This window comes from Homo sapiens, chromosome 20 (genome assembly GCF_000001405.40).
Source record: "Homo sapiens chromosome 20, GRCh38.p14 Primary Assembly".
NCBI lineage: Eukaryota > Metazoa > Chordata > Mammalia > Primates > Hominidae > Homo > Homo sapiens.
This window is the reverse complement of record NC_000020.11, coordinates 60,037,512-60,052,535: the sequence shown is the minus strand read 5'-3', so window position 1 is coordinate 60,052,535 and position 15,024 is coordinate 60,037,512.

The window sequence follows — 15,024 nt, the reverse complement described above, 5'->3', positions numbered from 1 at the left end:
AGGGCCAACTGGCATATAGTGGGTAACTTCTGCATGTTCGGAGGTTAGTCTTAGCCTTCTTACCCTTTATGATAGCACCCTGATCCCCCCGCCCCAACTTCCTATTGTGTGAATCCTGCTGGGTGGGACTCTCCAAACAAGGATCTCACCCTGCCCAGAGGGGAGGCACGTAACCTGAGCAGATCCACTGGACCCTCTTGCTCAAGGTCCCCACCTTTGAGGAGAAGACCCCCAAAAGAGTAGAAAAGGTGCCTATGTCTTCTGGCCACAGCCCTGAGGCCTCCCGGACACCAGAGTGCCTAGGCTCTGGTTCTTTCTAGGTCCATTTCTCCAGCTTCTGCCCTACATTTGTGCATTCCCCCAAGCCCTTCCAGCAAACTCCCTCTCTGCTTCCCTGTTATTCTGGCTGTTGCCGACACTCAGGGCCCCTGGCAAAGCAGCTGCCCCACAGCTGGTTGTGGAGAGAACAAGCAGCATCTGAGAGTGGGAATGTGTGTCCTCTGCAGCACCCCGTGCCCTGGTCAAGAACTCTGCTTTTGTTTTACTGCCAGGAGAGCTTGGGACCATCTCTGCACCCCACTGAGCCTCTGTGTCCCCCATAAAATGAAAACCATAACAGTTCCACAGGGCAGGAATGTGGATAGAACAAGGTAATGAAGGTGAAGTGCCAAGCTCAGAACTTGGCACATGGCATCTAGTACAGAACAATGATGGTCTATCTCCAGAGCCTGGGCTGGAATCCCCCTTCTTGAACATCCTCTCTCTGCAACCTCTTTTTGGCTCTGTTTCTTCAACTCTGAAATGGACGTAACAGAGCCCAACTTGAGGAGTGAGAAGTATGGGAAGTCAAATACATGAACACCCCTGATGCCTGAGACACAGACCTTGGTGATTTTTTGAGGTATACCAGTAGAGACATGATGAGAAGTGCTTTATTTTTTCTAACTGCCCTTCTATTTCTCTGGTTACATAAAAAGTCTCAGGTCAGCACTCACCTCTATTAAAGACCCCATCATAATAAAGAGGGTGCAGGGCTCAGCTGGGTCCTCACAGGCAATACTACCAACCAGCATTTAGTTGTATGTTTTATGTCATATTTTGTATGGTTTCTTTCCATTCTTAGAAAGCCTTACTAGTTTTCTACTTGGAAGAGAGTTGGAAATCTTACTTTTTTATTTTTTAATTTATTTAATTTTTAATTTTTGGGGGTACATAGTAGGTATATATATTTATAGGGTTCATGAAATGTTTTGATCCAGGTGTGCAATGCATAGTAATTACATCATGGAGAATGGGGATATTCATCCCCTAAGCATTTATCCTTTGTGTTGCAAACAATCCAATTATACTTGATTAGTTATTTTTAAATGTACAATTAAGTTATTATTAACTATAGTCACCCTGTTGTGCTATCAAATAGTAGGTCTTATTCATTCTTTCTAATTTTTTGTACCCCACTTTAAAAATACATTTAAATAAAAAATTGAGTTGATTTAAAGAAAAAACTGAAGTAAATAACAGTATCAGCGTTAGAAGAACACGGCCAAGACCTTGAAGGTGGCACATGCTAGACGGTAGGGAGGCTGGAGATAGTGGATGTAACGCAACAGGAACATGGCAGGTGTGCTGTCAATCCAAGCTGTCATCATTATCATCATTAGCCCCAGTTAGCAGGACTGGTGTGAGCAAAGGGGCCAGCCTGCACTCACCTCCTTCCGAAAGCCGCTACCCTTTGGAAGCATAATCGGCTCTGAGGGCAATAGGGATAATTACACAGGGGATCCATGCCACTGTGCCTGGTGATTAATCACCAGCTCTCCCTGACGCTTCCAAGCAACCCCGGCTGATGGGCATAATCAAACCCTGCAACATGGGTCCTCCCACCAGCCACAAAACGTGCCGCTTGTGGCTCAGACAGATGTTCCTTGGGTTTCAGACCATGGGAAAATAAATGGGCTAATTCATCGCCGCTCCTCTGAAAAACACAGTCCAACCCTGCAATATCCACCAACTCCCTGCTGGCAGAAGTCACCCACTGCACTAGTGAACCCAAGAGACAAATGGCATCCTTTGCCTATGACTGCTTAGTGGACTCCTGGGGTGCCAGACCCAGACATGGCCATCAGGCGGAGTTCATTCTCAACCCCACCTCCAGGTGGCACTTTTCACCTGAGACGCTCAGCCCCAGCCAGGTAAGCCCTGCTGTCCTTAGCTATGTGAGCCACAGGTAGGAACTAGAGACAATGTTCATAATACACCTGGGCAGGGGGTAAACACAGGCGGGCTCTTGTGATGGTTTGCTTGCATAAAAATGAAAATGAACCAGGCAGAAGCCTGCAATATGAAGTGTGGCTCTGACTGGAGCTGAACAATATTTGACCCCCTCATCCAAAATGTCAACATCACCGCATCTTTCTCCTAATAGAGCTGTGTGCCTATGAGCCTTGAAAGATCTGCATTATAATCTGTAAATGTCTAGGAGTCAGTATGACAATTATCTGAGGACTCCACGGATATGATGAATGGACAGAAAGACAAGGACAAAATTGGGATCCAGGCTAGGAACTAGGAGAGACAAGGACCCTAGGGGAGAGAGGAGCAAGAGGGTGAAGGAAGGGAGTGGGAGGGCAGAGAAAGGAAGGAAGAAAAACAAGAAAGAAGGAAAAGAGATGAATCATATATTAGTCAGGACCTCTTGATGGGAAGTCACAACAACCTAAAATAAACTGGATTAAAAAGAAGTAGAAGAATATTGACTCATGGAACTAAGATATCCAGCAAATGAAAAGACTTCAGGCAAAACCGGATGCAGGTGTCGAAACAATAGTATCGGCACCCATTGTCCCTCCATCTCTCCACGCTGCTGTCCTCTGCACCTCAGGAAGGCAGGTATGGAGCAAGGCACATGCTAGACGGTAGGGAGGCTGGAGATAGTGGTTGTAAGGCAACAGGAACATGGCAGGTGTGCTGTCAATCCAAGCTGTCATCATTATTATCATTAGCCCCAGTTAGCAGGCCTGATGTGAGCAAACCGGCCGCCTGCGCTCAACTTCGGATTTTCACCACCTTACAGACCAGAGAAAACCCTGCATTTATATCGAGTCCCCCTCCCCGAAAGACTCTCATTGGCTTTCCCAGGTCATGTGCCCACTGCTGGACCAATCACTGAAACCAGGAACAAAGGAGTATTCTGATTGGTCAGTTTGGAACATGTGATTAACAGTCTCAATAGCAACATGGACAGAAGAGAAGTTCCCAGCATGAGGGGTGTTAGGCAGATAGAAAAGGCAGAAAGGGAAGAGAAGGAAAATGAAATTTCCTGGACACCTGCTCTCTGTCAAGCACAATTGAAATAGTTGTTTTTTTCCAATTTAATCCTCATCATAACCCTGCCAGATACGCATTTGTATCCCCATTTTACTAGTGAGAAAATTGAAGCAATGTCAAACTTAGCCGCCTCCAGCTGTGCAGACATATCAGACACTGGGATATGACAGTTGGGGATGGATTCATGCAGCCCCACCTCCACCACACTACCCAGGACTGATGTGTTCATGAGCCCACCTGGGCTGCTGGCCCATGAAACTTCAGCTCCTACCTTGGCTGATCAGTCAGGCAGCAGCCCTGGCTCCAGTGCAGCTCCTGGAATCGTCAAAGACCTTTGTTACTTTGTTACTAAGCAATCATTGGCGCACTTACTCACCCATCATGTAAAAATACTTTCGGAGTCCCTACCATATACCAGCTGCTGTAATAGGGATCAGGAACACACAAATGAATAAGATACAACCCAGCCCTCAAGGAAAGACAGGCAATCAGGAAAATCAAAAACAAACATTTGTAAAATATTCTGAAGAGGCAAATGCAGGAAGATCTTGATTATGAGGAACACTCCAAAAATGTATCTACTTTGGGGCTCAAACTTTCTAGATAGCTAAGGCCTTAGGTTTTTTGGGTTTTTTGTTTGTTTTCTTTTTGTTGTTGTTGTTGTCATTGTTGTAGTTTTTTTAGATGGAGTCCCGCTGTGTCGCCCAGCCTGGAGTGCAGTGGCATGATCTCGTCTCACTGCAACCTCTGCCTCCCTGGTTCAGGCGATTCTCCTGTCTCAGCCTCCCAAGTAGCTGGGACTACAGGCACTCACCACCATAGCCAGCTAAGTTTTGTATTTTTACTAGAGACGGGGTTTCACCGTACTGGTCAGGCTGGTCTCGAACTCCTGACCTCAGATGATCTACCTGCCTCGGCCTCCCAAAGTGCTGGGATTACAGGCGTGAGCCACCGCGTCTTAGGTCTTTAAGAATAAAACTGGCTACAGTGAGCTATAATTGCACCACTGCATTCCAGCCTGGATGACAGAGCAAGACCTTGTATCTAAAATAAAAATAAACACAAAATAGTGAGGGCCCTTCTAGGGTAGAGATATTTCTTAACTGTAGCACATACTTTTCCTGACTACCTGAGTGGCATTTGCTGCACCCAGTGGAACCTTCCTTGATGACTTAGGGTCTTCATGGTCAACATGAGTGATGTAATGAATTGAGTGGCCTCACAGTGGACCTGGCTGCCCAGGGGCAAGTACTGGAAGCACTGGGGGAGAGACTGCATCCCCATGTGGGTGAGATCTTGTAGGTAGATGGAAAAGAATGCGGGATTCTGCAGAGATTCTCAACAGGGGATGATTCTGTCCCCCAGCGGATATTTGGCAAAGTCTGGAGACACTTGTGGTTATCAAAACTAGGAAAGGAGAGGTTGCTGCTGGAGTCCAGTGGGTAGAGGCCGGAGATGCTGCTGAACATCTTACAATGCACATGATGGCCCCCCACAATGAAGAATTATCCAGCCACAAATGTCAATGGTACTGAGCATGAAAAATTTCAGGCTAGATGGAAATTAGTTTGTTGACAGTTTGAAGAAATAATCCAAGTAGATGATTTAGCTTAGTGTATGGCAAATAAGGAGCTGTTAAAATGTATTGAAATATTCGCTGCTATTATCTTCATCACCACCGTCATAACCGTCACCATCATCATTATTATTATCATAATTTTTTTTCTTATAAAGCCACTTCCAACCTCCTGTATTACACTCGGGCAATGGTAACAAGGATTGCTGGGTTAGACCTGCATCGTCAGAGCACACACATTGTTGTTCCGTCACTGACTCCTAAGATGACTTTCAATACATTACCCTGATCCTCCTAAGGACTCAAGATACTCACCTATAAAATGGGCAAACTGCTGTCCTCTTCATATGATGAAGACAGAGCTCAGTGCGTGTTAAGTTTCCTGCTGTGAATTACTTTGAATGTCACGATGAAAAGCCAGGTTATACATCCAGGAAAGTGGATTCCCATATTCCTCCATGGCTGTCAGTTTCACTGCTGGAAACACCACAGCCGTGACCATGACTAACCTTCAGCTGCATTCTTCTCTTGCAATCCTCCAGCCCTTCAGCATCCAGGCAAAATAACTGGCCCCCGCCCACCCCCTGCAACACACATAATCTCCGTGGACTATCTGGCCCCCTCCCGAATATTTCCGAAGATTCTAAGAAGTGGGAGAAGGAGGCCCTGGGCTTTCCAATGGTCACCTTGCCTGTCTTCTTGCTTTGCTCAACGTCACTAATGTCTTATTTCTATTGTGGCTGCTCCATTCTGTCCCAAATGTGGCAGCGCCTCTGTTTCTTTTCCCAATATACCACCTGGTACAGTTTACACCAGGTGAACCTTACCTACCAAGTTAGTGGATATAAAATCTCATGATGAATTGGAGTAGGAGGGCTGTAGAGAGCATGACGAAGGCAGATCAGAGCAGAGCAGAAAGCAGCTTCACACCAGATGCCAGAAGATGCCTGATGATGCCGGCTCAGCCCCTCAGCCACAGCCCATTGTGGGAGCCCCAAGCTGCTCTCTCCTCCAGTGCCAGCCCACCCTGCCACCCACTCTCACACAGGGCCCATTCTTCCTTGGGGCCCCATGCCCTGCCTCAAATCTATCTTCAGGGCCTACTCCAAAGAATTGTGTTTAGGAGCTACTTCTCAGAAGACTGAGAAGTGTAAACTAGAATTGAGGAATATTTCTGTCTCAAAGAGTGAAAAACATTTCACACTGGAACACGGAGGACTCACATTTACTTTATTGTGTAAAACAATGTGGCTTTCTTTGCCAATATTTCCCCATTCCAGGCAACACTAGATACTTTACCTCTCATGACAAATAGGCCTAACAAACGTTTTCCTAGCAGAATGGCTATTTTGTTAGGCAATAAATTTTCCTTCCACTTCCTCATGCAACCAGCATGTGTTATGTCTAGTTTTTAAAAGAGGAACTTCTCCTTGTCCTGGTGCACTCTCTTTCAGAGCTACATCACTGTGGCATCTACTTTCCACTGGGAGCAGTTCTGATCCCCTCGGGCCAGCCTTCCTCCTGGGAGACTTCCCAAGAAGCTGTTAATCCCCTTGATCTTAGCCACAAATCCATCATCTACTGGACCGTTCTTCTTGGAAGGCATTCAAAATGTGATACGTTTTAAAATCACTTTTCCTTTGGTGTCCAGTAACTTGCAGGTCTCATAGAGCTTATTCAAAAGCCAGTAGAGGATGTTTGTTTTCCTTCTCTTTTGCTATTCAATATGGCTTTAAAGCCTTTCCCCAAAGTAGAGGTAAAACTCATATGTGTATTATACTTTCGACTCAAACTCTATTCTGCCGTAAAACACCAGAATTTATTCATCCTATTTAACTGTAACTTTGTACCCATGGCCAATCTGTCTGCATGATCCTCTTCCTCCTACCCTCCCCTGCCTCTGGTAAACACTATTCTATGCTCTGCTTCTATGAAGGCAGCTTTTTTAGAATCCACAAATGAGTGAGATTATGCCTTATTTGTCTTTCCGTCCCTGGCTTATTTCACTTAACAAATGTCCTTCAGGTTCACCCATATTGCCACAAATGATAGGATTTCATTCTTTTTATGGCTGAATAGTATTCTATGGTGTGTGTGTTTGTATGTGTGTGTGTGTGCATGTGTGTGTGTTTCTTTGTCCATTTATCCATTGCCAGACAGTAAGGTTGACCATATCTTGGCTATTGTGAATAGTGCTGCAATGGACATAGGAGTTTGAATCTCTCTTAGATATACAGATTTCATTTATTTTAAATAAATATTCAGTGGTGGAATTTCTGAATCATTTGATAATTCTATTTTTAATTATTGAGAAACCTCTATAGTGTCTCCATAATGGTTGTACTAATTTACATTCTCACCAACAGTGTCTAAGTGTTCCCTTTCTTCACATCCATGCCAGCATTTGAAACTTTTTGTCTTTTTAATAATATAGTCATTCTAATTTGGGTGAGGTGATATCTCATTGTAGTTTTTATTTGCATTTATCTTATGATTAGTGAAACTGAGCATTTTTTCATGTACCGATTGGCCATTTGTATGTCTTCTTTTGGGAAATGTCTACTCAGATCTTTGCCCATTTATTAATCTATTACAGTCATCCCTCAGGATTTCAGGACCCCCCTCAGATGCCAAAATCCTCCAATGTTCAAGTCCCACAAATACTACATTTTCAATCCACATTTGGTTGAATCCACAGATGTGAGACCCTCAGAAAGGGAGGGCCGGCTGTATTTGCTTTTTGCTGTTAAGTTGTTTGAGTTCCTTATGTATTGTAGATATTAACTCCTTGTCAGTCTCATAGTTTGCAAATATTTCCTCCCACTCTGTAGGTGGTCTCTTTACTCTGTTGATTATTTCCTTATCCTCTCAGATCTAGAACAAGACAAAGATGCCTACTTTCACCACTTTTATTTAACATAGCACTGGAAGTCCTAGCCAGAGCAATTAGGCCACAGGAAAAAAAAGGGGGGCCTCCAATTTGAAACGAGCAAGTCAAATAGTCCCTGTTTGCAGAGGACATAATTGTGTATATAGAAAGCCCTGATGACTCCATCAAAAAAAAAAAAACTGTTAAAACTAATAAATTCAGTAAATTTGCAGGATACAAAATCAACCTATAAAAATTAGTAGTATTTCTACACACAATAGTGAACATCTGAAAGAGAAATCAAGAATGCAATCTCACTTATAATAGCTACAAAAATAAAATAATCTGCTTAGGAATACATTTAACCAAGGAGGTGGAAGACTTCTACAATGAAAACTATAAAACATCAGTGAAAGTAATTGAGGAAGACACACATAAATGGAAAAATATCCCATGTTCATGATTTGGAATAAATAATATTGTTAAAATATTCATACTCCCCAAAGCGATCTACAGATTGAATGCAATTCCTATCACAACACCAGTAACAGTCTTCACAGAAATTTTTACAAATCCTAAAATTCATATGGAACAACAAAAGAAGTTAAATAGCCAAAGCAATCTTTAGCAAAAAGAACAAAGCTAGAGGCATCAAACTATCTGGCTTCAAGATATAATACAAAGCTATAGTAAGCAAAACAGCATGGTATTGACCTAAAAATAGGTCAATAGAACAGGATAGAAAACATGGAAATAAATCCACACACTTACAACCAACTGATTTTCCACAAAGACACCCAGAAAACACATTGGGGAAAGGACAGTTTCTTCAATAAATGGTGCTGGGGAAACTGGATATCCACATGCAGAAAAATTAAACTAGACCCCTATCTCTCACCATACAAAAAAATCAACTCAAAATGGATTAAAGACTTAAATGACTTAAATGTAAGACCTGAAACTATAAAACTACTGGAAGAAAACATAGCCATAGGGGAAATGCTCCATGTCATTGTTCTGGGCAAAGAATTTTGGACAAGAACTCAAAAGTCTAAGAAACAAAAGTGAAAATAGACAAATTGGATTACATCAAACTAAAAAGTTTCTACACAACAAAGGAAATCTATTTTCATTTTCTTACATCAATCAAAGTTCGCCCCATTCCTGCTATGGGGTTGATGGGAGGTGCCAGGCCCTTTGGCTCTCTAATGCTCGCCTGCCTGGAAATGCTACTCTTCCCCTCCGGGAAAAGACTCAGGGAAAGCTTGCCTATGGCATGATCATAGCTCCCCCTTGACAAATGTAAACCAGTGGTTCCTCATCTTTAGCATGCATCAGAAATTACCAGAAGGGCTTGTTACAATACTGATTGCTGGACCACACTCCCAGGATTTCTGATTCAGTGGGACCTGATAAATTTTTATTTCTAACAATTTCCAGATGATGCTGATGCTGCCGGTCCAGGGACCACAGACAATAAGTTATGTCAATAGTTCCAAACTACCTCAGTGGTGTTTAGACTTTTGAATATACAAGCATCATCAAGGAGTTATTAATGATGAAGATTCTAGATCATCAAGAGAAATAAAATGTAAGCCACATATGTAATTGTAAGGTTTCTAATAGCCACGTTTTTAAAAATCAAAAGGAAACCATGAAACCAATTTTTAAGATATACTTTATCCCAATACATTCAAACTTTTACCATTTCAACATATAGTCAATATCAAAGTGATTAATAAAATATTTTCCTTATTTTATTTATACCAAATTTTCCAAATCAAGTGTGTATTTTGCTCAATGCAGTTTCAGATGACCCATAACAACTGGGGGCTCATAGCTCCTGTCCCAGACAGTGCCGTTCTAGGGCCTTCCCTTGGGAAACTCTAGAAGCTGCTCTTCTAGAAAGCCCTTCCTGCCTCCCTCCCACCCCTGAACTTCCCTCTAGCACCAAAAAATTCATACCAACTTTCCCTAATTCAGTGCTTCTCAACCCTAGCTGCACTCTGGAATCTCTTGAGGGACTTTAAACATCCTGAGGCTTGGGCTTCACCCATCTGTGTTCTGATGTCAGTGGTCTCTGGCGCAGCCCAGCAATGGGATAGTTTTAAATCTCTCCAGGTAATCCTAATGTGCAGCTCTAGTCATCGCATGGAAGCTCCCTGACCCAGCGGGACTGTTAGCTCCTGAAGACAGTGTTCCTCACCTCCTGGGACCATGCAAGACGTTCTCAATCCCAGGCCTCATCCAGAACTGCTGAGTTCAATCTGACATTTTTATAAGATTGCCAGGTGATTTCTCTGCATATTGAAGTTCGAGAAGCACTACCTTAAGGGGAGCAATTAAGAAATTAATTGGGCAAATGTTTCGCATTGTCTGTGAGAGAGCTAAATAAATCTTCTCTACCCTCCAGGCTGGGGGCCAGGCCTAGTGAAACTCCTCAGTAGAAAGATGGAGGTTGTGCAAAGGGTTCTTGGAGGGCATGTGGCTCTGAATCCAGTCCAGCCATTACACTTGCTGTTCTATGTTTGGAAAACCACTTGCCCTCTCTGAGCCTCAATTTATACAGCCATAAAATGAGGGAAATGGGCATAATAAAAATGATAAAAGTCTAGTTTACAGATGTGGGGAAAAGAAAGAGAGATCAGACTGTTACTGTGTCTATGTAGAAGCAGACATAACAGACTCCATTTTGTTCTGTACTAAGAAAAATTCTTCTGCCTTGAGATGCTGTTAATCTGTAACCTTACCCCCAACCCTGTGCTTGCAGAAACATGTGCTGTGACTCAAGGTTTAGGATTTAGGGCTATGCAGGATGTGCTTTGTTAAGCCGATGCTTGAAGGCAGTATGCTTGTTAAAAGTCATCACCACTCCCTAATCTCAAGTACTCAGGGACACAAAACACTGCGGAAGGCTGCAGGGACCTCTGCCTAGGAAAGCCAGGTATTGTCCAAGGTTTCTCCCCATGTGATAGTCTGAAATATGGCCTCGTGGGAAGGGAAAGACCTGACCATCCCCCAGCCCGACACCTGTGAAGGGTCTGTGCTGAGGAGGATTAGTAAAAGAGGAAGGAAGGCCTCTTTGCAGTTGAGATAAGAGGAAGGCATCTGTCTCCTGCTCGTCCCTGGGCAATGGAATGTCTTGGTATAAAACCCGATGGTATGTTCCATCTACTGAGATAGGAGAAAACTGCCTTAAGGCTGGAGGTGAGACATGCTGGCGGCAATACAGCTCTTTAATGCACCAGATATGTTTATGTATGTGCACATCAAAGCACAGCACATTTTCTAACCTTGTTTATGACACAGAGACATTTGTTCGCATGTTTTCCTGCTGACCCTCTCCCCACTATTACCCTATTGTCCTGCCACATCCCCCTCTCCGAGATGGTAGAGATAATGATCAATAAATACTGAGGGAACTCAGAGACTGGTGCCGGCGCAGGTCCTCCGTATGCTGAGCGCTGATCTCCTGGGCCCACTTTTCTTTTTCTATACTTTGTCTCTTTTTCTCTTTCTTTTCTCAGTCTCTCATCTCACCCAACGAGAAACACCCACAGGTGTGAGGGGCAGGCCACCCCTTCATCAGAACCATTTTTCTTGGTTAATAATTTTCAAAAATCAAATTGGTTTCTACCATTTTAAAAAGGGAATTTGACATAATATCCCCAAATTCTAGTTTATCCTAAAAAATTCAAAGATCTGGCAGCTCCAGGTCCATATTTATTCTGGCAGACAGTTAGGTAAAGCAATTCACTCTCCAGGTGCTCACAACCTCACCCAGCCCCGCCGCTCGTTACAGTACTCACCTAGCGCAGGAGAAGGTTGAGTTTGACAACTTGTACTGCAGCAACAATATCTAAGCTGGAACTGTGCTTCCCAGAATTCTTTCTGCTTTATGTTTCCAGGCCAAGGTTGGCCACAAAAGAAACCTGTAGTGAACTGGAAGGCAGAAGTGAAGGCACATCCAGTAGGCTCAGAAGGGCTGGGCGATGTTGAAGCACCTGCTCGGTGTTGCTGATTATGGGCCAGGCCTGCAGCTCTTCCAGCTCCAGTGAGTCCTGGGCCAGGTGCGCGAGCAGAGCAGCCTCCTGGCAGCTTCCTTCTGCAGGTCACCTGTGACAGATCTGGGTTCTTCTTGTCCCTTGTGCATTCCAGGTTTTCCTTATTCTCCCCTACTTCCTGTCTCTCAGACTCTCAGCCCTGCTGATCTATGGTGAGTTCAGGCCAACCACCAGGTTTGGAGACAACAGCCTTCCATAGACTTCTTCACCATCTTCCATACTTGCATAATGTATAACCCTAGAAGAAATCTCTAGCTCCAAATCACTCACAGGGATTGATCAGGGAAGCAAAACCTTTTATCAACACTGCCCTGGACTTCACACATCTCCAAAGCAGCGATTAAATTTTGTAGTCACAGGTCAATGTGAAAATCACATGAGAACTCTGGGATCCCTCACAGACAATGCAAAACATTTTGCCCAATGGATTCAATAGACCAGTGGGTCTCAAACCTTAATGTACACATGTATCACCTGGGGATCGTGGTCTCTTTTTGAATTGCAGATTCTGGTGCAGCAGGCCTGGGGTGGGGGCTCAGATTCTGCATTTGTAACAGGTTCCCGGAGAATGCTGGTGCTGCTGGTCCAGTGACCACACGTTGAGTAGCAAGGTGTTCAAAGGTTCATGAACCCCTCATAGAAGACCTCCCCTAAGGTCTCTCCTAATTATAATGTGCAATTGTTTGCCCGGCAGTTTGGTTGAATAGATTGCCCAAACTGAGAGGCAAGTCTGGGGTGGCCTGAGCAATGTCTGCTAAACCTCATAATAAATTTCCCCATGGATCCCCACAATGAAGCTGCAATGAGACAGAAAGCCCCTCACACCATGGGCTTTGCAGCTGTTACAGAACAGCTCAGCCAACTTTGGTCAGCACAGCCTTACTTCTGGAAAGGGGATTCTTGCCTGCCCTGAGCAGGGAGTGAGTTCAGACAAAGACCTTGGCGATGGGGTACTCTCCCCCCCACCCACCTGCCGCCTGTGGTGAAGTAAGGCCTTCACCTTCTTCACTTTCTCATTGAGTTATACAACCCAGAGCCTACCAGATTGCGGGTTTCTGTGGACTCTGTCATCCCTATTTACCTTTTTCTCTAGCTCCTGGTCCTTCCTGATACACATAGTAGATGCTCAATAAATGTATGCTGACTGAATGAATGAATATGCAATTTTCACTATAGTCCATCTGAAATTAGGCTCCCTTGGCCATCCAGACCTTCTAGGGCTTCCCACATGCCTCCCACTGTTTATTTGTGAGCATTCAAAGTCCAGAGGCTCTTGTCACCATTGCCCTCAACACAAGAGAGTTAGAAAGGTAAGACAAGGCTCAAGGTCACAGGCATGGCTTTTAGAGGCAAAGAAGAAAGGTTAAGAGCAGAGGTTCTCAAATTTCAGCAGGAACTCCAGTCACCTGTGAAGACTGTTAAAAATGTAGATTCCAGCCAGGTGCAGTGGCTCACACCTGTAATCCCAGCACTTTGGGAAGCTGAGGCGGGTGGATCACTTGAGGTCAAGAGTTCGAGACCAGCCTGGCCAACATGGTGAAACCCCGTCTCTACTAAAAAAGTACAAAAATTAGCCAGGTGTGGTGGCGGGCACCTGTAATCCCAGCTACTCAGGAGGACAAGGCAGGAGAATTGCTTGAACCCGGGAGGTGGAGGTTGCAGTGAGCTGATTACACCACTGCACTCCAGCCTGGGCAAGAGAGCGAGAATCCATCTCAAAAAAAAAAAAACAAAAAAAACAAAAAACAAACAAACAAAAAACCAGAAAAACAGATTCCCAAGGCCTCAGCCCAGACCTGCTGAATGAGCCTCTGGAGGTGGGACCCCAGCATCTGCATTTTAACACACTCCCCAGAGACTTTGGTGCCTGGTAGGTTAGGTTCCACCCCTCATGACCTACTTCTGTCCTGCAACCACCCTTTGTTAGCATAAAACATCAAGGGGTGTGTTCGTTCACCCTTTAGTGCAACATACATTGATGAAGGTTTCACCTCTCACCAGCACTGTGTTGAGTATGGAGGCTACAGAAGAAGATAAGACACATCACTGGCCCCCAGTGAGCTCGCCTACAGCCTAGAGGAGGGGCAGACAAGCCAGGAGGCAGTGTGTTTTCCAGTGGTTCTGTGAGGCACTGCAGGGATCAGAGGAGAAATCTGGCCCAGTGACCATCCCTGCTGGCACCTGAAGGCTGAGAAGGAAAGAGCCAGGAAAACCTCAGTATGATTGGGACACAAAATTCCAGGCAGAGTGTGGAAGAGATAGGCTTGAGGGTGTCAAGTGCAGAATCTGGCCTTCCGTCCTGGGGGCAATGATGACAGGAATGCAACATGTGAAATCCACACTTCACAGTTAAACTCTCATGCGATGGGCGTGGAGTGCCCACAGAGTATGAATAAGAGGTGAGGAGGAAATACCCCTCCTGGAAACACCATCCACTCTTGAGAACCTAGGTGACTGTCTCCCATCTGAAAAGAGTCTGCAATAAAATAGTCTTTACAATTATTCAGAGTTTTCCCTGATCCTGCCAACCTCCGTACTTGATTTAAAATCTTTCCATCTGGAATTATTAGTCCAGAGCAGTTTATCAAAGAAAAGATGGATGGTGCAAGCCGACTGCTGCTAGCGTTCAGAAAAACGTGTTCTCTCTCTGCCATTCAGCGAAAGTTCTTTAATCACTGTTGATTGGAGGTTACCAACCTTGAATTGTTAGTTAATGGCATCTCTGCAAAGGAATGATTTATTGGGTGAGTAAACTTCGCAAACAAACACAGATCCTCCATTGCTGGCTATTTCATCGGAAGCTGAAATGTACATTATTTCAACTGTCTTTCTAGTGGAATCAAAATCCGAAGCAGAGGCAAATATTTAGCCTTGATCTCAGATTTCTCTGCCATCGAGATATTAAGAATACAGAAAGTCAAGGCACAGAAGAATCCCCAGATGTTCTGTTTCCAGTGTTCGCCTATGCTCTCAGGCTCCCTTGCAGCTGGCACCCCACCTGGGAGCAGCCTCCCTTTTGAGGATCACCATCGGGAGAGGAGCCTGTGGTTCAATGGCTGTACCTCTGTCACCTTTCACCAGGACCCTATCCTGAAACACCAGCCAGGGCCAGCACAACTCACTGCTGGAGGATCCCTGCTCTGCCACCTCTCCTTGGTCCATTTGTTCTCAAGCAAATGACATTGGAA